The sequence below is a fragment of the Homo sapiens genome, chromosome 18, assembly GCF_000001405.40.
Source record: "Homo sapiens chromosome 18, GRCh38.p14 Primary Assembly".
NCBI classification, from domain to species: Eukaryota; Metazoa; Chordata; class Mammalia; order Primates; family Hominidae; genus Homo; species Homo sapiens.
The window spans coordinates 69,644,102-69,669,510 of NC_000018.10; the positions used below are offsets into that span (position 1 = coordinate 69,644,102).

General features: G+C 37.7%; 1 protein-coding gene across 3 annotated transcripts in view; it reads left to right on the forward strand.

Moving 5' to 3' along the window:
* Nucleotides 1-25,409, forward strand: part of DOK6 (docking protein 6) — a 448,200-nt gene that overhangs the window by 243,214 nt on the left and 179,577 nt on the right. The window contains exon 1 of one of the 3 annotated variants that reach the window (XM_017025611.2): nt 261-12,844. The exons of the other annotated variants lie outside the window; for them this stretch is intronic. The gene's annotated coding sequence lies outside the window, so the exon portion shown is untranslated. Of the gene's footprint in view, nt 1-260; nt 12,845-25,409 lie in introns of those variants that run through there. 3 annotated transcript variants of the gene reach the window in all.

Here is a 25,409-nt window from a genome sequence, read left to right on the forward strand (position 1 = left end):
GTTTCATTTTTACTATTGATGTTGGAGAGTTCTTTATAAATTCTAGATATTTGTTCTTTGTCAGATATGTGGTTTGCAAATATTTTCCCTTAGTCTATAGCCTGTATTTTCTGTTTTCATCCTTTTCACATAGGTTTTTACAGAGCAAAAGTTTTTAATTTGTATGAGGTCCAGTTTATTAGTTTTTCTTTTTATGAGTCATTCTTTTAATGCCAAATCTAAGAACTCTTTGCGTACTCTTAATTCCTAAAGGTTTTTTCTTCCACTTTTAAATACATTTTACAGTTTTTCATTTTGCTCTTAAGTTTATGATCCATTTTGAGTTTGTTACTGTAGAAGTTGTGAGGTTTAAGTCAAGATTATCCTGCCTATGGATGTCCAATTGCACCAGTGCCATTTAATGAAAAGGTTACCATTCCTCCATTGAACTGCTGTGACACATTTGTCAAAAATCATTAGGACGTAATTGTGTGGGTCTATTCTGGGTTCTCTATTCTAATCATTAATCTATGTATCTGTGCCCTGCCGAGACCACACCATTTTGATTACTGCAGCTAAATTGTGAGTCTTTTTATAAGGTAGAGTGATTCCTCCCACTTTATTACTCTTTGTCAAGAGTGTTTTAGCTATTCAAGACCTGCTGATACTGATGCTAATTGCTGTGTCTTGAGTAATAAAGTTTTTCTCTGATCCAGGAGTCTTGTCAGCTGCCAGGATTTATGAAAGAGTAACAGGTGGACTTGTTATCTTCTAAGTAAAGCAAATCTCAGATCCTTCCCAATTCTTGCTGCATATTTCCTTTTCTTAGAAAATATTAAATGAATGCTTTGGAAGGACCAATATTAAAATAGATGTTTTAACTTTTTATTTAGAAATAATTACAGATTCATAGGGAAATTTCAAACATGGTAGAGAGAGCTCTTGCATACCTTTGATTCTCAAAGATACGCAATCTTTGTGTTGTATATCAACCCCCAGTGGTTGCCTCTTACATAAGTGTAGAACACCGCTAAAACCAGGAATTTAATATGATACAATGTGTGTGTATAATTCCATGCCATTTATCACGTGTGTGGATCTGTGCAACCACTGCTGCAGTCTAGATACAGAACTGCCCCATCCCCACAGAGATGGGCTTATGCTACCCTGTGAGAGGTGCATGCACCACACTCCTCCAATCTTCCCAACTGCTGACAACCACGAACCTGTTTTCCATCTCTCTAATTTCATTATTAGGAATATTATATAAATAGAATCATGTGTCCTTTTTAGAGTAGGTTTTTCACTCAGCATAATCTTCTGAATATTCATCTATGTTCAATATAATACACACAGTGAATAAAACATAAATAAGATGACAAAGTTGGGACCAATTGTATCAGATATAGCCATGATTTTAAGGGAGTAAGCTCATCTATTAAAAGAAAAAGATTTTCACATTGGCTTACTGGGCAAAATACATGCTAGTAGGAATGTAAAATTGTAGACATAGTGTGAAAAACAGCTTGGCAGTTTCTTCATATTAAAAAAATGCATTCTTACTATATAACCCAAAAATGACATGCCTGAGCCTTTATCCCAGGAAAAAAAAATGAATACTTAGGTCTACAAAAAAAACCTTGTACATAATTATTCATAGCAGCTTTACTTGTAATATCCTAAAACTGAAACAATCAAGTTGTTCCTCAGAAGGTGCGTAAACTTCTCAAGGAGATAAACAAAGACAGCATTTCCTGAGTTTTTCTTTTTTAAATGTGTTTCTATGATGTTTAGAGTTTAAAGACCCTTAATAATTCTTTTGTCGATTCTTCTGGAATGTTCCACTACTGTCTTATTTTGTATTTTGTGATCGAGGAGTCTGATTTCAACCTTTTCTTCCATTATAAGTGACTTAGTCTTTTTACCTGGGATCTAAAAGGAATATGTATTTGTTCTAGTATTTATTATATGTATTTATTCTCTGCAGTTTTACTAGAGTATATCTAGGAATCAATGATTCTTTTAAATTTCCCCAGCATGTAATAGACCCCTTCAAAATGTAGATTTGAGTTCCTTGATTTTGAGCAAGTTTTCTTGGGTTATTGTTTTAAATATTAGTCTTGTTTTACAGTTTTGTTTTTTCTTCTTCAGGGATTCCAATTATGCATATTTTAGTTACTTTTCCTATTTGGATATCTGTATATTTTTTCCATATCTTTTCTAAGTTTTTGACATTCTGACAGAAGGTGTTTGCTTTCATTATGTCTGCAGTTGCTTGTTTGAGAGTATTTAATGCAGACATGAGTATGATGTTACAGTTTGCCTCTGATTTCTGGTTATTTTAGGGAAAAAAATTACCAGTTATTATGTATTCTCTTTTTAAAATTTCTTGTTAGTACATTGATTTTTATTCATTTTTAAATACTGTGTTTTTCAAAATCTTAAAGGTAAATTCAGGGATATAGAGTTTGAGGGGCTCGCTGGGTTTAATCCTTGAGGATTTCTTCCATGGTGCCCATTTGGTGGAGAAGGGCTGGTAGCTAAACTTCTGCTAATTTTAATTCTGTTTACTTGTTTAGGAGCATTACTTTTCACCACTTGCTTCCTTTTCCTTTACCACCAAACGTCTAAAGGATGCATCCCTCTGCTCTAGAGACAGGGTGTTCACGACCAGGCCCCTCCTGGTCTATGCACTTCCAAGACTCTTCCTTTTGATTCCCCAGTCAAGGAGGATCTGTCCATCAAGTCTCAACAGTATTACCTCTATTTCTCCATCAGGGTGGGGCCCCTTGTGTCTGGTCAATATCTTGATTAATTGTCCCACATTGCTAAGCATGCTCCTCCACTCTCTCCTTTCTTCATATAGTCTATCTATTTATCTATCTAGCTATATAATCTATCTAGCTATCTAATCTATCTATCTAATCTATCTACTCTATCTCATCTATCCATCTGTCTATCCTGTCTATCTGTCTATCCTATCTGTCTATCCCATCTGTCTATCCTATCTGTCTATCCTATCTGTCTATCTATCCTATCTGTCTATCCTGTCTATCTATCTACCCTATCCATCTATCCTATCCATCTATCCTATCCATCTATCCATCCATCTACCTATCTATCTCCTGTCTTCATTATGTACTCCAAAGCTGGTCTTCTAGTTTCATTTTTTTTTCTTATGTACTTGTAAAGTGAAGTTTATATGTTTGTTATTTCTTGGTTATGCTAGAAGTACAGGTTATGGTGGTTTCACTGGCTCTCTTGGTTGAAGGGTATGATGTTGGAGGGTATGTAGAGAAATAAGGCAGTCATCATTATCCTACAGGACCCTGGAAGTCCCACAGCTTGCAAATTCTAAACTGCTAGTTGAAAGCACGTCACTTCCAGTAGGTGACCCCTTAAGTCCATGAAGATGCAAACAAACAGCCAAGAGATCTGAAAGTAAATGGATTTCATCAGGCTAAACAAGGTACTCAGTCCTTAAAGAGGGATCAGGCCTTGGGTTGTAAGCGTGTGTGATGTACTGTGCCCTTGTTTCTTGAACACTCTACTCCCCACTCTGCCCAAGCACTCCCCACTCCCTGGACTCCCCATAAACTTTAGAGCAGAATGTGGGAGTAGGAGAAATGAAAGGCACTAGAGAATCTGCTGGTGATCTGGAAACTTATGTCTCCTACTTAAAGTCTTTTCTGAAAATGAAATCCCATAGAGCAACTCCATGTCATCAGGATGGGGCAGAGGACAGAAGAAGTGGTGATGTAGCAAATTGGATGAGAAGCAGAGAAATGCCTTTCTCTGCCCGCCGGCAGGGATATGTTAAACAGGACCCTGCTAGTGAAGGCTGCAGTTTTAGCTGCCCAGGGAGAGCCAGAATGAATTTATCTTTATTCATTTGTTTACATACTGCTTTATTTTAGGACAGGATTACAGTGACTAGAAGCCTATCAAATACTTGTTTAGCTATCATATAATCATCATGAAGCCTGGCACATCCTTGTTTCTCCTTTTCTCGCTGAAAAATACTTTCAAATTTTACTTTTTGTTTTTTACGTTACACATCCAGAAAATGAAACTACGGCCACATTCAGGTCTTCATTAATATTTTAGCTCCCTATAGTTATTTACTATAATTGTTGAAGAAAATATTAAAAAGAAATCAATTCAAAATGTTATTGTGCTGAATTTCAGAATATTATTGGTAAGTTGGGTACAAACCAAGGTTACAGTGTATTTGTGTCTGAACAAAAGCAAAACAAAACCAAAGCCCATTTTCTAACCTGTACACCAAACCCCTGAGTCACGAATTTACCTGTATAACAAATGTGCACATTGTATTTTAGCTTTAGGTACCTCTGAACCTAAAATATTTTTCAAAGCCCATTTTCTTTCTCTTTTCCATTGAAAAGGATGTATTCACCATCCTATTAATGAGAGTTTATGTAAATGACCTTTACTGAGAATTTTAAAATCATAATAAAATGGCTTATTAGTATCTCTAGCATAAGGACTAGGAAATAGAGGACATGGCGATGTGAAACTAAGTGTACTAAATATCGTCTGTTAATTGATAGGTAGAACATCATTGCCCTGGACTCAGCAGTTCTGAGCACTCCAGTTTGCTTTGGCTACGTGCCAATGCATGCTCTGGTTATGCCTAGGTGGAATTTGTAGAAAATAATCAGAACAGCCCCCTGTTCCCATCAGCAATAAAATAGCTGTTCATGCAACTGGGAACAGTAGTAAATTCTTTTTTATTTCCTAGTTCCTATGCAGAAGGTCAAATCCCTGGCCATTTTCAGATGTACATTATGTTAAACATCTATAAATTAAGAGCAAGAACATGAGCTGAATCTTACACTAAAAGAGAGACATGTTTTCTACTACAAAGCACTTAATCCCACTAGATACGATATTATTAGAGCATAGCATCCATATGGCATATTCTTGCATCCTGATCATTTTGTAGCAAAGAAGTGTTCTTGACTTCTCTTACCATCCACACAGCTTCCCACTGGAGAAGTCTGTGGATATGTCCATTCCCAAGAACACACGCAAACCTGAGGCAGGAAAGGGACACTAGTATTTTTTCCAATACCTATCACTAATCCAATTTAAAAGGCTCATCTAGTTACAGAAAAAGAGGAAGGCTATATTCTATTCATTTTTTAAAATGGTTACAATAAAGCTTTTCTCAAAGTCATTTATTCTACAATGAAAGCTTCCTTTCTCAAAGAAATAATTTATGTCCATGTAAACGAAATCTCCTTGTCAGAGATCTAAAAAATGACACCCTTCATTGCATGGACTAGACTTCCACAAATCCATGCTAATGATGAAAATAGGGGTATTTTAGTTTGGGATGGATCCTAGGGTTGCCTCCCACTCACTGCCAGGGATTTGCGGCTTCTTTTAGGATAAATGAACGTAATTTATCAGCCTCAATAGATGTTCCTAGAATTCATATTACTATGAAGAACTTTTTCTGCATCCCCCTTCTTAAAGATAGTGGAGTCTTAACAGACTTTATAATTGGAAAATGCAAAACAAAATCAACTAAAAATGGATTTGAATTAATGAGATTAGTAAAGGGCCTGATATAAGGTCAATGCATGGAAATCAAGGACAAAGAAACATTGCATATTTAGAAAAGGCAATAGAAACGTTATTTTTAATGACAAAATTCTAAGATTTTAATAGTAAAATATTTGAGAAATGTGCAAGACCTAAATAAAAACAAGTATATAAATCTTTATGAAATATAAGATTGCATAATTATTGAGATGGTAAGATATGATGTCTCTTATGCAATAATCTTATGCAATTGCAATAATCATGATTTTTTAAAAAGTAAAACTTGACCCACTGATCCTAAAATACATCTCTTATGGGATCCCCTCCCTTCCTAGAGTCCTCTACATAAGGCTTAGACAGCCAAAAATCACCACAGAGCGACTTTCCTTTCCAAGGAAAGGACAAGGCAAGACTTTTCTTGCCTTGTCACCCAGTGAGATTAACACTTTGTGCCTACTGTCTATTGTTCTTAGGCCAGTATGATAGGTGGCATGTCTAACAAGAATTTGTGAAAATTTTAGGATTTTCTATGAAATTATCATCTTTAAAAAAAAACGTGGTTGGTTGATTTTATGTATTTGTGAAGAGGATGCAGGGAATACTACTGCTCTGTGGGTTGAAGACTTTATAAAGTAATCTTAAGTGGGAGTTTCAGTCTCTGAGCTGGAAGTCATCCAAAGGTTCTAGATGCCTCCTGCTTTGAGTCGGGCATAAGGTTCTGTTCTAGAGGATCTGCTACCAAGAGTGAGCAAAGCCCTAGACATCTTCCCTATCACATATGAGCCATGTCAGACCCGGGGTCCTAAAAAGGAAGGAATATGCAGGAAATGCCTAGATATTGCTTGGCATACTTTCATAAGAAATAAAACTGAAACTTTTTCCTCAAGTTTAATTATGTTAATTTTCCAACTTTTCGGAGCTATTTTGGTTAACATGGATTAAAAACTATCATATCCAATGAAGGGAGGTGACCCTTGCTGTTCAACGGGTGTAAAGCTTCAGTTATGCCAGAAGAATAAATTCTAGAGATCTTCTGCACAATATTGTGCTTACCTTGAACAGTACTGCGTCATACACTCAAACTCTGTGATCTCATGTTCAGTGTTCTTACCACCATTAAAAATATATAACCAAGACAAGAAAAAATTTGTCTTCCAACTCCATCATTTTTTTCATGCTGCTATTACTGCTTCTAATTTCCAAATACCCATACTTTTCCTTTGACTGTTTTCTTTGGTATAATAGCCTGTCCATATTTTATTCATTGCAGCATCTAAATGCCCTTCATCAAGGCGGTGGTTAAAATTTAAGAACAATCTTGATATGGAATATGCTGCAGCCATACATTCATACATAAACATTTTAAAAAGCAGTCTTAGACTGTATGTGGAGAGATGTAGAAGGCATATTGTTGGTAAGCAAAAGGACTCTCTCTCCCACTTCCCAGAGGAAATAGAAGTCATCATCATAGCATGCTTCCCAGTACGAAGCATACAGACATCTGTGCCCGTCCTCCCCACTTGAGCCTCCTGTAATAACAGGGGAACCATAATAATGTCAATACCTCCACCTATAGTTTTGATCATTACCACCTCCTTGAAGCACAAATAATCTTCTCTGCCTTTTATCCCATGCATAATCCAATGGCTCCCTCAAGACTAGATCCTTCCCATGATATTTTAGATATAGTCCAATTTATGCACTTTTTTCCAAAACTTGTCCCTGCTTTCCCTTAAGATATTTTACCTTCTCACCTTCACAGCTGGACTTTTTGGTTCCTCCTTAGGGAATCCAATCCTTGCCCTGCATTGCATCATCAGCCCCCCGCTCCTTTTTTTTTTTTTTTTTTTTTTTTAAGACAGAGTCTTGCCTTGTCACCCAGGCTGGAGTGCAGCAGCGCGATCTTGGCTTGCTGCAACCTCTGCCTCCCGGGTTCAAGCGAATCTCCTGCCTTAGCCTCTGGAATAGCTAGGATTACAGACATGTGCCACCACACCCAGCTAATTTTTGTATTTTGAGTAAAGACGGGGTTTCACCATGTTGGCCAAGCTGATTTCAAACTCCTGACCTCAAGTGATCTGCCTCCTCAGCCTCCAAAGTGTTGAGATTACAGGTGTCAGCTACCGCGCCCAGCCCCATCAGCCCCCTTTAATCTCTTTTCTGCACTATCTCCTTGCAAAGCAGGCTGTTAAACATCTCTCTGACCTCCATTGGTTAAATAATACTAATATTTTAAGTCATTTGATTATTCAGAATCCTTTCGATACAAAATTTAAAAAGGAAACTAATTTAAGTTAGCCTTAAAAGTGAATTGATTTGATAACCAAAAGAGCAATGGGAGAATGGCCTTTGGTCAGCTAGTGTCCTTGTGCTTCTCTCTGCTTTAACCTTGCTGTGTGCTGGCTTCTCTTATGACAGCAATGGCTCCCATAGGCATTTACACACAGCTTGTGGAAAAATAAGGGTGTCCTTCTTTCATTACCAAGGAGCAATTGTGTGAGTAATTTTGCTTTCAAGCCAATCCATGAAACAGAGAGGATTAGGATGACAAGTGAATTATTAAATAACTTTCAGAGAAGTTGTTTTTTATACAATACACTAAAAATAATATAAAAAGTACCTATTTATTGAAATCTAGAATCAACTATTTTTAATTTTGTTCACACTTGTTTTAACTCCTGGTTTTAAAAGACGAATATTCCACATAAATACGAGATGTTGACTCACACAGGCTCCCTTCCTTTTACAAAGAGTGTGATGGGAAAATCCCAGGACTGTACAGGAGAACATCCCTCAAAAACTGGGAAGGAGCTGAGAGACCAAAGAATGACTTGGGCAATTCCAGCTTGAGGAGTAGATGAGTTTATTAGGATTCACAAACAGGACATTTTCGGGCAGCATCAGGAGAACTCTAGAGATCCACCCACCACACGCCTCTAAGCTGCTTTTAAGCTGATTTTGTGGCTCTTTGGCTGCCGCATGTGATGAGACTCTTTTCCTTGGTATGTTCCCAGATACACTCTAGGATGTTTGGGTTCTCAGGGACACCTGCTCCTCAGCTGAGCACCGTGGCCTTGGCTCATTTCCCAGCTTTTAGGGTTCAAGCAGCGTACATACAGCCTTAAGTAAACTGGTAGGAGAAACATCACCCTACAAAGGAACATATTATTTTTACTACATAGGCAAGCTTGAAAAAAGCATAGAGATGATTCTAGCTGCAAGAAATTGAAAATCAGTTTCGAATAGTAAGGACAAACGATTATCTGACAGTCTATGTTATTTTCAGACCCATGTATATTCCCTGAGGGGATGATGTCTGTAGTTTGAAAGATTCACGATGGAATTCTACTTCTGGCTATGGGGGACTTACTTTTATCACACCAACACTCTCGTTAAAAACATGGGTAAATAGTGGATATTTTTCAAAATCATCTATTTGAAAGTATCTAAGAAACATCAAAGCAACTGGATTTAGAGAAGCCAAGATTCAAGATAGAAAGCCACCATGTTTGGGTGAGTCTAGCCTTTAAGACCATCTATACCTTGAAGCGTTTGCCAATTCGTAAGTAACACAGGCTGCAAGCCCACCCAGAAAGAAGAGGCTATGGCAGATAGCTGAGAAGAATTTTAGGCAGTCTTATGAGACTGAGACTGGGACAAAAAAAAAAAAAGAAGAAGATTTTGGCTAACTTCCGAGGCAGCCAGGACTTGGGGAGCTGAGGTCCCGGAGAAAAGGAAACACAGAGAACTGAGCCTGATATTTGACTCTGTGTTGCTTCCCGAGGTACTTGCCGTCTGGTAGGTAATCACTAAGGGGCTGAAGAAGCCAAGCTGAAGGTGGTGGCTAAGAGAACTTCCAATAGACTCATGATATTGGGAGTCAAATTCAGATTTCAGGATCCACCAAGGAAGAGGGACTTCTGTAAATATCCCACATTTCTAGTGGGATTCTGAAGGGCTATACCCCAGAAATGAAGACAAACTGAACAAAAACTAGTCCTTACAAAAACTGAAACTTAGATTTGAATGAGCTGAGTCCCAGACTGCATAAAATTGATATATCTCTAACCACATGCAGTGAAGTGAACTGATAAAGATAACATCATTCAGACCTTTGTCATCTGGGCAGAGATAAACATCATTGAGATCCTCAAATTATCGCTATAATGTTTCAAACATACAAATTATCCCTATAATGTTTCAAACATAATGTTTCAAACAAGCATTCAATTAAATACCACCAATCATTCCAGGAGAAAAAAAATGGTTAATAGAAATGGGGCCACAGATTATCCAATATGAGAGTCAAAATAGCTGTGATTAACATGCTCAAAATATGAATGACAAGATGGAAAACTTCAGAGAATTGAGACGTCTAAAAAATGAATCAAACAAAAATTCTGAAATCCTACAAATGAAAGTAAAATGTAATGAAGATTTGATATTGATTAAAAACAGTTGAGGAGGGTGTTAGTAAACAGAAATGGGTCACTAGAAATATACAGACTAAACACAGAAGAAAAGAGCAAAAAAATATATAAATGATGGATAAGATGCAGTGGAAAAGTCTAACATACTTGTAATTGGAGTTGCAGAAGTTTAAGAGAAAAAGAGATTGTGTCAAGGAAATATTTGAATGGAAATTGGCAGAGAATTTTTCCAATATGACAAAAGACATCAAGAAACAAATCCGGGTTGCTGTGTACTTGAACAGGGACACACACATGCAGACACAGACACACACACACAATTGTAAACTTCTCTGGGGCAGGAAATTTGACATTGACATTGAGTCGGCATGAAGTTAGGGCTCTGGACTTGAATTTTTTGCATAAAATCTGGCTCTTCCCTTCTTTATAAAAGAAATAGCAAAATTTCACTCACCCTCAGAAAGTAATGAGAAAGGCTGACACATCTCTCTCACAATTAAAATGGTGAATTGTCATCCAAATGAAGGCTTGCCCCTCTTATGAATATCATATCCCAATATAAACTACTTGCATAATAAAAGAATTCCAAGCTAATATTAAACTCAAAGTTGTTTAGAATTGCTGACTGCTGTAGGGCTTTGACAGAGGAAAAGATTAAACCGTTTTGTTGAGGCCCTTTAAAGAATTCTAGGCTCATTGGACACAGTGGTGCACGCCTGTAATCCCAGTACTTTGGGAGGTGGAGATGGTGGATCACTTGAGTCCAGGAGTTCAAGAACAGTCTGAGCAACATGGCAAAGCCCCATCTCTACAAAAGATACAGAAAATTAGCTGGGTATGGTGGTGTGCACCTGTAGTCTCAGCTACTCTGGAGGCTGAGGCAGGAGGATAACCCAAGTCTGGGAGGTTGAGGCTACAGTGAGCCATGACTGCACCACTGCACCCCAGCCTGGACAACAGAGTGAGACTCTGTCTCAAAACAAGACAAAAAGAATTCTAGGTGTATGAGTTTTCTACAGAAGAGAAAAACCTTCTGAAGATGAGCTTACTTTAATAAAATAGCACCAACCACATAAATAAATCACAAAGAGGGAAATTCACCAGGTACAAGACAAAAAAGCGAATTAGCATCTTAAGAACTGCAAGTAATGGGAAAAGTTTTACAAGAATAGAAAATAATTTTATTTAAAATAAATATAAGAAAAAATAGACATTATATTGGAAGGGCATAATATAAAAGACAGAATATATGTAAAAGAAACAAATAGAACTTTAAGATATTTTAAAATGCCATTGAAATGGAAAGGATTAAATAAAATTAGTCTATCTGAGAGGATTCTCAGTGCTTAGAAGATGAATCTGGAGAAATCATCAAGAATGCAGCACAAAGGTTGGGCGCGGTGGCTCACGCCTGTAATCCCAGCATGTTGGGAGGTCGAGGTGGGTGGATTGCCTGAGCTCAGGAGTTTGAGACCACCCTGGGCAACATGGTGAAACCCTGTCTCTACTAAAAATACAAAAATTAGCCAGGTGTGGAGGCAGGTGCCTGTAATTCCAGCTACTCAGGAGACTGAGGCAGGAGAATTGCTTGAACCCGGGAGGTGGAGGTGGCAGTGAGCAAAGATCACACCACTGCACTCCAGCCTGGGTGACAGAGCGAGACTCCTTCCCCCACCCCTCAAAAAAAAAAAAAAAAAAAAAACAAAAGAACAAAGCATAAAATATGAAGATATAAAAACCTTAATCTAAAATATGAAAAATAAAATATGACATATGATAAAAATAAGATATGAAAGAGTAAGAATGTCCACCATACATCCAACATATGTCTGACAGGATTTGCAATGAAAGAAACAATGGTGAATAGGAAAGAGGCAGAAGTCAAAATGGTAATTGCTGAAAAAAAATTCCAGAATTGAAGAAAGACTTGTATTGTTGAGAGTTACATCAAGTCAACAAGTAGACACATAATGGTTTATATGTAAAATTAAATATAAAACAAAAAGTCTTAAAAGCAACCCCAGAGAAAAATCAGACTGCTGTTAGAATGGAATGACAGAATGAATAGATGACTCAATGTTAGCAACAATAAGACAAAATACTCTAAAAAATTTTGTAATGCTGGAGAAAAGCAACAGTCAAGATAAATTAACACTGAATAGTAAGGGTAGCAAGAAAGATATTTTCAGAAACATAAAAGCAAAGGAAATTGATTAACCTAGATCTTTACAGAAAGGAGTACCAAAAACATATTCTTTAGGAAGAGGAAAGTAAAAACAGAAAGGAGGAAGATGCAAATCACAATGATGAGACGATATCACAAAGTGGTTTAGAGTATAGATGTTCTAGTCAGCGTGCTGTGTGACAAAGAGTAAATTACTCCACCTCTCTGTGCCTCCATTTCCACATATGTTCAGTGGAAATATAAATAATAGTAGCACTTATATCATAGGTTTGTCACCGGCACATAGTATAAGTTCAATAAATGTTGATTAAAAATAAGTCAAAAAGTTGCTAAATTTAAAGTAATATTGATGTAAAATGCTAAGATAACTATTTTAAGAATTTAAAAACAACAGACTTAAAACAAAATATAAGTGTAATGTTGGACACTGATATGGTAAAAAAGAGGAAATTTGATTAAAGTATTCTAAGATCATTGTATTTTTTTCTTATACATGAAAAAGGGAGAAAATAAAGACAATGCAATTGATAACTGCAGAAGAGTGAGTGTGGGCTCCAGACCACCAGCATCAATATACCTGGGAGCTTGTTAGAATGCAACTTCTCAGGTTGCACTCCAGATCTTCTGAATCAGAAATTCCAGGGTTGGAGTCCAAGAATCCACTCTAACAACCCTCCAGGTATTTCTAATGCATAATAAAGTCTGAGGTGCTCTGTTAGAGAAGATAGGAAAGGAGGACAGAAAAAAAGAAAATTCATGACAAGTGGAAAACACAAACTGAAATGATCGATAATAATCCAAGTAAATGCAAATACGTAGGTTTTTCTAAGATATCTCCAATTGAATTGAAAACCTAGTTATATACTTTTTACAAGATAAATGCACATAAAAGACAGGATCCACAGTGATAGAAAGTGAAAGGATGGGAAGGATGACTGCGATGTGTTGGGTTGGATTATTGTTCCTCATGCCTGCCTGCCTTTCTCTGTTAGAATATTAAACCTCCCTTTCCATTAACTTGCGTCTGTCAGTGGAACCTGCAACAGTGACACGTGCCACATATGAATTTTAACTGCATGACATGGCTCTGCCTTAGCTTTTATCCCCTTTGCCCTGAGACTGGGATGGAAGCTACCCCTTCAGCCTGGTCCCAGAATGAGAGAAGCTGAGCAGAGTTGAAGCTGACCACAAGGTCAGGAGTAGGAAATAAGCATTTTGTTATAGGAATCCTCTGAGATTGCAGGGCTATTTCTTACTACAGCATAATCTAAGTAAAAGTTGATTGATACAGAAAAATATAACAGGCGAAAGCTACCAAAGAAAGTTGATGTAATGAGATTTTTGATGTTAAATCATGTATTAGAAACAGAGGCTAATAATTCTTCACCCTTATACACCTAACAAAATAGTCTCAAAATAAAAATTAAGTGCTGATAACTTTTACAAGGGGAAAACTGGCCCAACACAAGAAGGAAATAGTAAATTCGTGAACTTGATAGGAGATTTTCACCTGTTTCATAAATTCTGGAATTAGGTCTGCGTTCTACCAGACCTAAGACACAAATTAACTGGAACCTTTCTGTTGGTTGGTTGGTGTGTAGGTGAGTGGGTGGGTTTTTTGTTTGTTTGGGTGGTTGTTTGGTTTTGGGTGGGTTTTTGTTGTTGTTGCTGTTGTTGTTTTTGTTTGTTTGTTTGTTTGCTTTTGAGAGGGGTCTCCCTCTATTGCCCAGGCTGGAATGCAGTGGCATGATCATGGCTCACTGTAGCCTCCATCTTCTGGGCTCAAGCGATCCTCCCACCCCAGCCTACTGAGGAGCTGGGACTAGAGGCACCACCACGCCCAGCTGATTTTTTAATTCGTCATTTGTTGAGATGGGGTTTTGCTATATTGACCAGGCTGGTTTTACACTCCTGGCCTCAAGAGATCCTCCCACCCCTGACTCTCAGAGAGCTGGGAATACAAGCGTTAAGCCACCACGCCCAGCCTGGGTTAAGAGCATAGACTGGGGCTGGATTGCTGGGTTTGACTCCTGAATCTTCACATGCACTTTAAATTCTTTGGTCTTGGTGACATCATCTGCAAAATTGTGAAATAGTGTCTATTTCTTGTTGGGAGTCACACATGAGTTAATATATGTAATGTAAATTTCTTAGACTAGTACCTGGCACACAGTAAATATTTTTAAAATAAGTATTGTTGTAATATTTAGTATGTTGACAATAATTACTACTACTATTACTATTGCTATTATTATTATACAAGCTTATTCCATTTGAAAGCAGCATGGGAAAGACATGAAAGCCAAGAACAGGCTTTTATTCACTCATTTTCATGATCAAAAATAAGGGGTCTCTCTGCTTCCTTAGTTCTGCTACTTATATCTGCCAGTAGCAGTTCGCTGTATTTCTCTATTTATTTCATAAACGGAAATGAGTCTTTTTCTGCTGTCTTTTTCTCAGTATAAGCTAATATAGAGAGCTCAAAATGCTTTATTTTTGCATATATAACTCTCTTTTTTCAACAAGGAAAAAGATTAATTGGTAACTGGTTTTCCAATAATTCATTCCTCTCAATATTCCTGGCTGCAGCTTAGCACAGCTATAAAAGTAAGCCTGCACATAATAATTAAACACAATCCCTTCTCAGCCTGTAGATGGTAAAGACTAGCTCTTAAGAATTACAACACAATATTTTTGGTCTAGTTCCCTTAAGAAGGCTATTTTTTCTACTTCGAATATTTGAAAACACATTAAAATCAAATGCAGGCAAATTGAAAATTTCCTTAACACCCTGAAATCAAATAGTAGAACAATATAAACATTTAATCATTACATCTGACTTTGCTGCCACTGAATCTTTCAGGTGACAGTGGCTTCTGGCACCCTGAGCTCTGCATGTTCTCTGCTGCTCCAGCATTTAACCTTCATGGTCAAAGGATGCTGTCCTAGCTCTCTGGCCTGTTCAGAAGAAACAAGCAGCATTCTGGCCTTTCATATTACATAAAATGATTTCAAAAGTCACTGCTGTGCACGTCTACGTGTGCCTCCAAATGGTTCAAAGTATTGACACAATGGTGTCCATTAGAAAAAGATAAAGTGACAAAGCAGCAACAAGAAGGCTACATGCTGTGGTTTTGCAAAACTAAGAAGATATCCAAATATGATAGGTTATGTGTTTCTGCACAATGTATTTCATTCTGTTTGTATTTAGGAATTAATCCCCTGAGAAACTGAACATTGCTCACGTTTGCCAGCTGAATCCGGTTAATTACACAGGCTGAGATAAAGTCAAGGGCACTCGGGACATGAGCAAACAGGTCGTTAAATGCAGTAACTGGAGTGGAGGATCAGGATGGAGAGAAGACACACAGTGTTTTACAGCCCTAATTTGTTTTGGAATGTCTTGGAAAGGGGCTAAAAAGGACGTTAATCTGACTGTGCCTGTAATTATTTGCTGGGACAGTGTCACTCTGAACATTGAATAAATGCCAGATTTTAAATATTATTAGATGGCCATCTGAAATCCTGGTGGTTTTTTTTTCTGCTTTTTTTTTGTTATATATATATATAACATATATGTATGTTATATATATATATATAAAACATATATGTATGTTTTATATATATAACATATATGTATGTTTTATATATATAACATATATGTATGTTTTATATATATAACATATATGTATGTTTTATATATATATATGTATATAAAGAAAATCACAAACCTAGTCACTCTACTGATGCAAATGATTTGGGGGTGTCTTCCTAGCTTTACAATAAGAGGAGGGACCTCTGCTGCACCCTCTGTCTCAGTTTCAGGGCAACATCTGGTCTCTTTGGAAGCAGCTTCCATGCATGACATAAGCAAACAGGGCCCCGACTTTCTTCCTGAAGGCCACTTTTCACGCTTTTCAAACTAGTTTCTGTACGTCTGAAACAAACCCTCTGCATGGAGGCCTGCAATGTGCATAGATTGTTCATAACTCAGAACGTTGACTTTAATCAATTGCTAAATGTGTTACCTTTTGTTTGAAGAAAAATAGGATGCAAGTGTCTTTGTATATTCAAATAAAAGCTAATGAATGAAAAATTTCCAATAACATAAATTTCAACTCCACAATACAAGTCTCAATGAGGCTAACCACTTTCTCTCATTGTTTCTTTTATCGTGGTATGCGCTAGTGCAGGATACTGACTTTTTTTTCAGATTGGTCTTAGCACAATTACTAAAATAATTTCATTTTTCTACTTGAAATGACAGATTTAGCAGGATTAACATCTCATAAGGGATACCTCCATAACCAAAACTGGATAGATTTTGGAGTTTTCACACTGACCTCAAGGAGCAATGCATTCCTTTTGCTATTACTTTTGAAGACATGAGACATCTATATCTGATTTTTTTTTTTTTTTTTTTGAGATGGAGTCTCGCTCTGTCACCAGGCTGGAGTACAGTGGCTCAATCTCAACTCACTGCAACCTCCGCCTCCCAGGTTCAAGCAATTCTCCTGCCTCAGCCTCCCAAGTGGCTGGGACTACAGGCACCCACCACCACTCCTGGCTAATTTTTGTATTTTTAGTAGAGACGGGGTTTCACTATGTTGACCAGGTTGGTCTTGAATTCCTTACCTCGTGATCCACCTGCCTCGGCCTCCCAAAGTGCTGGGATTACAGGCGTGAGCCACCACACCTGGCCTATACCTGATATTTCTTATGCTTTGATTACAAATTCAACTGAGGAGACAGCAGATGCTGAAAGTCTGAAGAAGTAGAAGGGACATGTCAAAACTCAGCAAATTATATCCTGTTTTTGTTCATTCAGGCTGCTATAACAAAAATACCATACCCTGGATGCTTATAAACAACAGAAATGTATGTCTCCCAGTCCCCGAAGCTAGGATGTCCAAGATCAAGTCACCAGCACATGCAGCATCTGTTGACAACCTACTACTTCTTGTTTCATAGGTGTCTCTCTTTTCTCTGTGTCCTCACATGCTGCAAAGGGCAAGGGATCTCTCTGGGTCTTTTATAAGGACGCTAAATTCCATTCCTGCTGGCAGAGCCCTCATGACCTAATGACATCAACAACGGCCTCACATCTTAATAGCATCACCTTGGGAGTTAGGTTTCCACATATGAATTGTAGGAGGACACAAACATTCAGTTTATAGCATATGCATAAGCAACTAAAGAGCAAAAAGAAGAGACTATGGGCATCTCCTAGATAGGAAATTGAAATTCAGAAAGCATAAGTAACTCAGTCAGGTGTGAGAAATGGTGGAGCCTCCTTCCTATTATACTCTGTAGGAACAATTTAAGGTTCCTGTATGTGTAATTGTCGGGATAGCAGCTCTAAATGTTAGATCATTCTTACCAGATAATATAAAAATGCAACATGATTCAATCTGGTCAATTTTGTTCTTTCCACCTAAAATAATTCTTCATTAAAATATAGTTTTAATTTACTGAATTAATTCTTTAAGCTGAATATAAACACAGTTGCAATGTGAAGGAAAAGTAGAAAGCTTACATAATATATGTAATGTGGACTGTCACCAATCACCCCTAACTGTAAATACATGCTACAGATGTTTTCTTACTTGTCTGAGTTGGAGCCCTGAACTGTACCCAGGTGTGTCCACTCTGAAAAGCTGTACTTCTGGGCTAGCACAGAAACAAACAGTAATCAGAAGGGGTTACTAACCTATTTCTCACCTTGGTTCTTCTGAATAAACTCAGAATTTAATCTCACCATCAATATATTGATGCAGATCTCGGCTCACTGCAACCTCCCCCTGCCAGGTTCAAGTGATTCTCCCGCCTTAGCCTCCTGAGTAGCTGGGATTACAGGTGCCTGCCACCATGCCCAGATAATTTTTGTATTTTTAGTAGAGATGGGGTTTCGCCATGTTAGCCAGGCTGGTCTCAAACTCCTAATCTCAGCTGATCCACCTGCCCTGGTCTCCCGCAGTGCTGGGATTACAGGCATGAGCCACCACACCCCGCCTCCAGGAGCTACTCTTTATAGTCTTCTCTCTTCTGTCTTGTTTCTCCTGTGGTTCTGTTTTGAGGCTTTCACACTTTACTCAGGATGTGTACTTATCACAGCTACTTTTGGAAGGATTGCTGCTGATGTAATTTATTACTCTCTTTACCTCGATTTTTAATAAAGAAAGCACTTTGAAAATGTTTTTCTTTTACTCTAACTATATTCTCAGGAGTTTATTACTACTTGCTCCAAATCTGGGTTGTTTCCCTTTTGTTCACTTTGGACTTTTGTCTAAAGACCTCTGTTAGTAGATGAATATTGCCTTTGAACAAATAAAAATATTTGAACACAGTTTTACATTGATCTATTTTAATGAACCAAAGCAAGTTTTGCATGAGTGTGCAGTAATAGATTTCCAATGAGACTTTTAAAGTCAGTTTTAAAATCTGCACTTTTGAAGATTAATTTCTTGTGCCATGCCAATGAAACACTGTCCCATTGCCAACTCCACAATGATGTTTAGCTTTACTGAACTTCCTCCTGTGAAACTGATCTTCAAGCCAAGTTAAACTTGTTTCCTTCATAGAAATAGTTATAGGGACAAATGACTTTAAGCAATAGGATGGATCCAGCCTTCAAGGTGACATGTATTCACCTTAGCTCCAAAGCCAATTAAGTAAACCAAAGGATCCTTTTTTTGAACTATCCTAAGCCATTCCAAAATTATTTGTTTTATCTCATGGAAAATGTTTTGAATCTCAAGTCCCTTAAAACATACTGCAGTTATTAACAAAGTCAAGGAGTTAAAAGGCAGTCTGCCTGCAGAATCTGCTGAACAATGTGTCAACCTTAGGGATATAGTTAAAAACTGGAATGGATCTGGCCAGTCCCTTTGGTCTCACAGAAATTCCTAAACCACACTGTACTTTGAAGCAATTTTCCAGGCACCCCTCTTTGCAAGTTCTGCATTGCTTCAGGGTCCTGACTTCTAAGGTTTATTTTAAGATCTTCTAAAAAGGGATTAGAAATCAGAGGATGAAGGGTGGGAGGACGGAGAGAATACTAGGCTTAATAGCTGGATGGTGAAATAATCTGTACGACAAACCCCCATGACACCTGTGTAATAAACCTGCACATGTACCCATGAACTTCAAATAAAAGTAGAAAAAAAAAAAAGAAATCACAAGTCAGTTGACCACAGAAAATCCCTTCAGCCTAAACTCCACCTGGAATATGAAAATGGGCCCCAATGACAGATAATAATTAAATGGTCCATGGTTGATTATGATAATAAACACATTGGAGAACACTGTTAATTGGGAAAATGTTAACTAAGAAATTGTGGAGATGCATGGTTCTGAGAAGAATCGGGGAATTTTGTTATCCTTTCCCCACACCCTAGGCACAGTATTGTGTTTGGCATTAACTACAGTGGAGCTTTTAATAAAATTGAACAATATTTTGGAACCAACTGAAGGCAACCAGTGAAGGCAACAAGCCTATCCTCAAATCTCTAATTTTAGATACTGTGTGACTCTGGTGGCTGTCTTTAGAATGTTTGTGGAATGTGCGGCTATTTAGTGCCTATTGTTCTCAAGTGGTAGCTTTAGAGGGCTCCAAACACAAGAGGACAAATCCCATTCAACAATATTATAAAGTTTACTTTAATAAAATTTCTGATTTATAATAAAAATACACTCCTAATTTATCTCATTTCATAAGCCGTTAATTTTTTTTAAAGGGTGACTAGGCAACAAATACATTTTAAAATAAAATGCTGTGTGATGTTTGGATTGGGGTACAAAGCTAATAGAAAACAAAGGTTGAAATTTTAAATGTACTAATGCATTAAATGTTTGTGTTAATTAATTTCAGAATCGAATATTTGAAATTCTTGTAGTTTTAAAAAGTAACCAGCTGGTTTATTTTCATACTTCTGTATGTTGTTTTCATACGAATTTCATCATTACTCAGAAATCATTTTTCAGACCTGTTAGTGCTTTTCTGCAAATATATATGATCTTTCTTTCCAATGAATGGAAAATTAATCTGAATATTTATTATAGGTTCTCATTTGATACTGGCTTTTAAAAAGCCATCTTTATGAGCTGTACAATACTTCATATAAATGGAACATGTAAATCTTAATGATCATCTTTATGCAAATTATCAGAATAATTATACTTTTTATGCTCCTCAATAATTATTTGTATTTCAACATCAGTGGTCCTTGTGCTTTCTTCTTTTATGGAGGTAAGACTAGAAGGAAAAAAATAATTCCTAGTGGTGTAATGGTCAAAACCACTAGCGGCCCTCTTCTTGGAAATAAACAAAGATACTCATCACATTCCTCCCACGTACTAACTGCAAGCAATATCACCCTGTAGGCACTCAGGGCTTCTCAGACTGTGTGCATTTAAAGGGAAACATATGGAAAATATTTCGCTTACTTTTCATTCACTCTCTGACTACCCACAATGTGCCAGGCACCTGCATCCAAAGAGGAGAAAATGCCATCTTGCCATGTGCCCAAAAGCAGCAGCTCTAAATCCAGCTGAACAAGAAACTGTGCAAAGGATCCCACCAAGCATGCTTCTGCTCACTGAACATCATTTTCTTCCTAAAAGCAAAATGTGGCCAGGTGCGATGGCTCACGCCTGTAATCCCAGCACTTTGGGGGGCCAAGGTGGGTGGGTCACGAGGTCAGGAGTTTGAGACCAGCCTGGTCAATATGGTGAAACCTCCGTCTCTACTATAAATACAAAAAAAATTAGCCAGGCATGGTGGCACATGCCTGTAGTCCCAGCTACTCCAGAGGCTGAGACAGAAGAATCGCTTGAACACGGGAGATGGAGGTTGCAGTGAGCCGAGATTGTGCCACTGTACTCCAGCCTGGGTGACAGAGCAAGACTCCGTCTCAAAAAAAAGAAAAAAAAAATGCATTAACTCCTCCCCAAAAGACACTAACTCAATGTCTCATCCAGTCATGACTCCAGGATTCTGGGCAATGCAAGGTTGTCCCTACAGCCAGTCCAGATGTGACTCTTTATGAGCTAGAAACCTATGACCCAATGCACACTTGTGAAATGAGATGGGATAGACAGTTTCAGAGCCTCCTTGCTATGTGGAATGAGGTATTTGATTATTTGTACCTAATTATAGGTACCTAATTATTTGTACCTAATTATAGGCACCTAATTATTTGATTAGGTAGTAATTTTGCACTCTGGGAGGGGGCCACCAGTCCATTGTTATCTGAAGTGATGTCATTTTCTGGGAGTTTTCCAATTTTCTATCGTCTGCCTTAACTCGACCTCTGAAGCGAGCATGGGAGCATACACTTTCTTTAGGAGCTAAGAAACTTCTTCAGATGCTTTCTGCCCTAGAAGCTCAAGGATGATTTATAAGCTCCAAAAGCGATTGACTTTTTTAGAGAAGTTTTGGATTTCTTTGGCAGTTTAACTCTTTAAAACTTTGCAGTTTTGTGATCTATTTGATTTTACTTGGTTCCATGGGCCAGTAGTTACACCCACAGTTTTGATTTTTTTTTTTTCTAGAAGTACTTCTCTTCAATCCTAAGCCTCCTGCTGTTTCTCTCTCAGACCTTATGCCCTCAGGTTTTGGTGGGAGAACCACCCCTTTGCTCTCTTTTCCCTGAACCATTTCTCTATTAAGCAAGCATATTGGGCTTCACCTTTGAGCAGACCTTGACTCTGAGATGCTTTCAACCATTCACAGGCTTTAAGAAAGGGCATGTAGCTCAAAGGCTTATCATTTTTATTTTATTGGTATTGACTTGGAGTTGCGAAGCAGTTGCCTTTTTCAACCTCGAAAAGCTCCAAGTTTTAAATACACTCTATCTCCTTTTGATCCTGTGTGCAAACTGAGCAATTCTTTTTCTTAATACCCTGCCAAATACAGCCTATGGCAACTAACATATGCTGATAAGTTTGTTAATATTCTATCTTCCAACTCCTTTTCCTAGGGTGGATATTTTCTAATCCATTCACCAAGTTACTACAGGTGACGTTTTAACCAAATATTTCCCTGCTGCATAACATGGATCAGCCTCTATCCAACGCCCAGTTCATTTCCTTTCCCTTGCTGACTGAGCACCAAGACAGTGACACATAGCATCACCCTTCTCAGCTGACTTCTATTCTTTATTTCTTTTATTTTTTTTTAAATTAGACAGGAAATGTTAGGCACGCACCTGTAACAAACAATCCCAAAATTTCAGTGTCTTAACCCAACCAATTTTTTTTTTCTCAATTACACAGTGAGTCTGCAGAATGGCTCTGTTAATCATCGACATCACATATTCAGACTGATGCAGGCACCATGTTGCCATTTGCTATTATATTGGCCTATTTATGGTGTTTTCCACATAGTGGGACTCAAAAACATGTTCATTGAATGGAATGGATGATGTGAGATGAAGGAATGGAATGAGTTAGATGACAGATGTCAAAAATGACCCCAAGGTTTGTTACATGGATTGAATAAGAAATAACTATCTGCTGACAACCCTGGGTCACCTTTGGCAAAAGTTGCCTGCAGGCTGCCATCAGCAGGGATTCACAAGCTGTGTACTCAGCATGAGACCAACTCAAGGGAGCTTTCCTCTGCAGCAATGAGGAAATAGCTTCGTTTTAAGGAAATAAGTCTGCCTATCTGCAGGCTCCACCTCTGTCAGTAGGAGCCACCAGGGACACTGTGCTCCCAGAAGGACCCCCCCTCCCCGCCATCCCAACCTCCCTTTAGTTCTCATAATTTTCCATAGAGCATCAGCATGGGGCTGTCAGAATTAATCTCAACGTGCCCTTTATCTCTGTCCATGTCAGCTACATGCTCTTTCTCCTGCCTCTTTCATCTCTAGAATCTCATATCTTGGGCTTTATGATGGTCTTTCCAACTCCTTCTCATGCCCCTGCACACATCCTGATATTCTTTTTATGCTACTAGAAGTCATCATCAACCAAAATTCTTGATGTCACTTCCCTCAGCAGCTATTGTGCCAGATATTTCTCTTCTTGACCTAAAAAAAATTACAAAATAAATAACTTCTAGATTGAGTTGTCTATTATTTAACTGTCTGCACTGACTCCAACTTCTGTTTCTCTTCTCTCCTGCTTTCTCTTGCACCTATTCAAGCTGTCTTTTGTCTTCCAACAAAGACAATAAGGGAAGCCTAACAAAAACTTTCCTTATTAAGGGAGCTAATGCTACCTTAAGAAAAAGGTAACAAAAACTTTCTAACAAAACTTTCCTTATTAAGGTAGCTATGCTCTCCAGGTTGGAAAAATCTTACAATCAATTTTTGGACTTCATTTGACTTGAGCTTTGCTAGCATGAAAAAGTCAGCTACTCTCTCCTCCTTGAAATATTTTTTGTTCTTGGCTTTCAGCATATTGCACATTTTTCTGGTTTCTTCTTCCTTAAATGTCTGTTATGTCTTAGTTGCCTTCCCTGTTTGTTTCCCAAATATCGAACTGTGGGAGTATCTCAGGTCTTAGCCCTTAAATGTCTTCTTTTTTTCTACCTACTCAGACTTCTTGGTGATCTCATTTAGTTCCGTGACTTTAAAAGGAATCAATATACTGTTGACTCCCACATTTATAAGTCCGATCTGAATTTCTCTCCTGAATACCAAGCTCATATAGTGAACTGCCTATTCATCCATCCACTTCAATAACTAATAAGAATCTGAGAATTATTTCTAAAACTGAACTCTTGTTATTTTCCTCTAAATCTGCTTTTCTCATAGTCTTCATCATCTCACTACATGATAAATCCATTTTTCCAGTTGTAAAGGCTCAAACTTTTGTATTCATCTTTAATTTCTCTTTCCCTCATACTCTGCTTGCAAATCTTGTAGGCTTTCCTGAATATATCCTAAATGTGAATGATTCTCATCGCCACCATTCCCCACTCCACTGCTATATTGATCCTAGTTACCATTCCTCTTCTCCTGTTATCCATTTCCACTGCTTCTCCTCAACCCTTTTTACTGCTTTTTTAGTGGCAACTTTATTTTTGTATTTTACTCAATGCCTCTTAATACGTGTTCATTTGATGCTATTCTACCTTACATACCTTGTACTTTAAAAAAACCTAGGAATGTCTTTTGTCACTTCTTTCATGCTATTCTTTTCATTTTTCCTATAGTTTTTGTTCATTTCCATTCTTAGTTTATGAATTTTTGATTCAAGTTTATATTTTACACCCTCAATGATTGAGCACATTCAACTATTTTTGGAGTGTACTCATAGTTTTCTTCTGCTTCATGTTACTTTTGGGGATTGAGGTGTGGTAGGAGTTTATTTTCCTTAATTTATTTGAATTTGTGTGAATTTTCTTGTCTTGAATTTCTGCAGTAGTTCTCTATGGACTTTTGTTTTCTTTGCTGATTTTTGTGATATCGGGATGATGTATAAGAGTCCTAGTTTGTTGTTTGGCTGGATTTGATCATTCCGCAATGTATGTGACTCAAAGCATCATGTTGTACATGATAAATATATAAAATTTATATCTCAATCTTTACAAAATTACATATTTGAACAAAAAAGGTTAAAACACAGCATCTGACTACTCAATAGTTAACAGAGTTTGTAATTAAAAGTACTTTGTCAATGAAAAAGTCCTAGTTTAATATTGCCCTTTTTCTGTCATTTTAATAAGGCCCAGGAAGTATGGTAGGGTTTTGTTTGCTTGCCTTTTGTGATAGGGATGGTCAGTTCCCTGATACTGTGGCAACATGTTACTTACAGGACCCTAATCTTCTACTTTTTCTTCTTTTCCCTCTACCACCCAATTGCTAAAGGGTGTTTCTTCCTCTCTCTTTGCTTTTATTCTTTTCCCTTCAACTTTTATTTTAGGTTCAGGGGAGTGCATGTGCAGGGTTGTTACATGGGTAAATTGCAGATTATTTTGTCACCCAGAAAATGAGCAAAGTACCCGACAGGTAATTTTTTGATCCTCTCCCTCCTCCCACTCTCCACCCTCAAGTAGGCCCTGGCGTCTCTTGTTCCCTCTTCAGTGTCCATGTGTACTTCGTGTTTAGCTCCCACCTAAAAGTGAGAACATGCAATATTTGGTTCTCTGTTTCTGCATTAATTCTAGTAGGATACTAGCCTCCAGCTGCATCCATGCTGCTACAAAGGACATCATTTTGTTCTTTTTTATGGCTGCGCAGTATTTCATGATGTAAGCTATACAACTGGAAGACTTGCTCCTCTAAACCCAATGT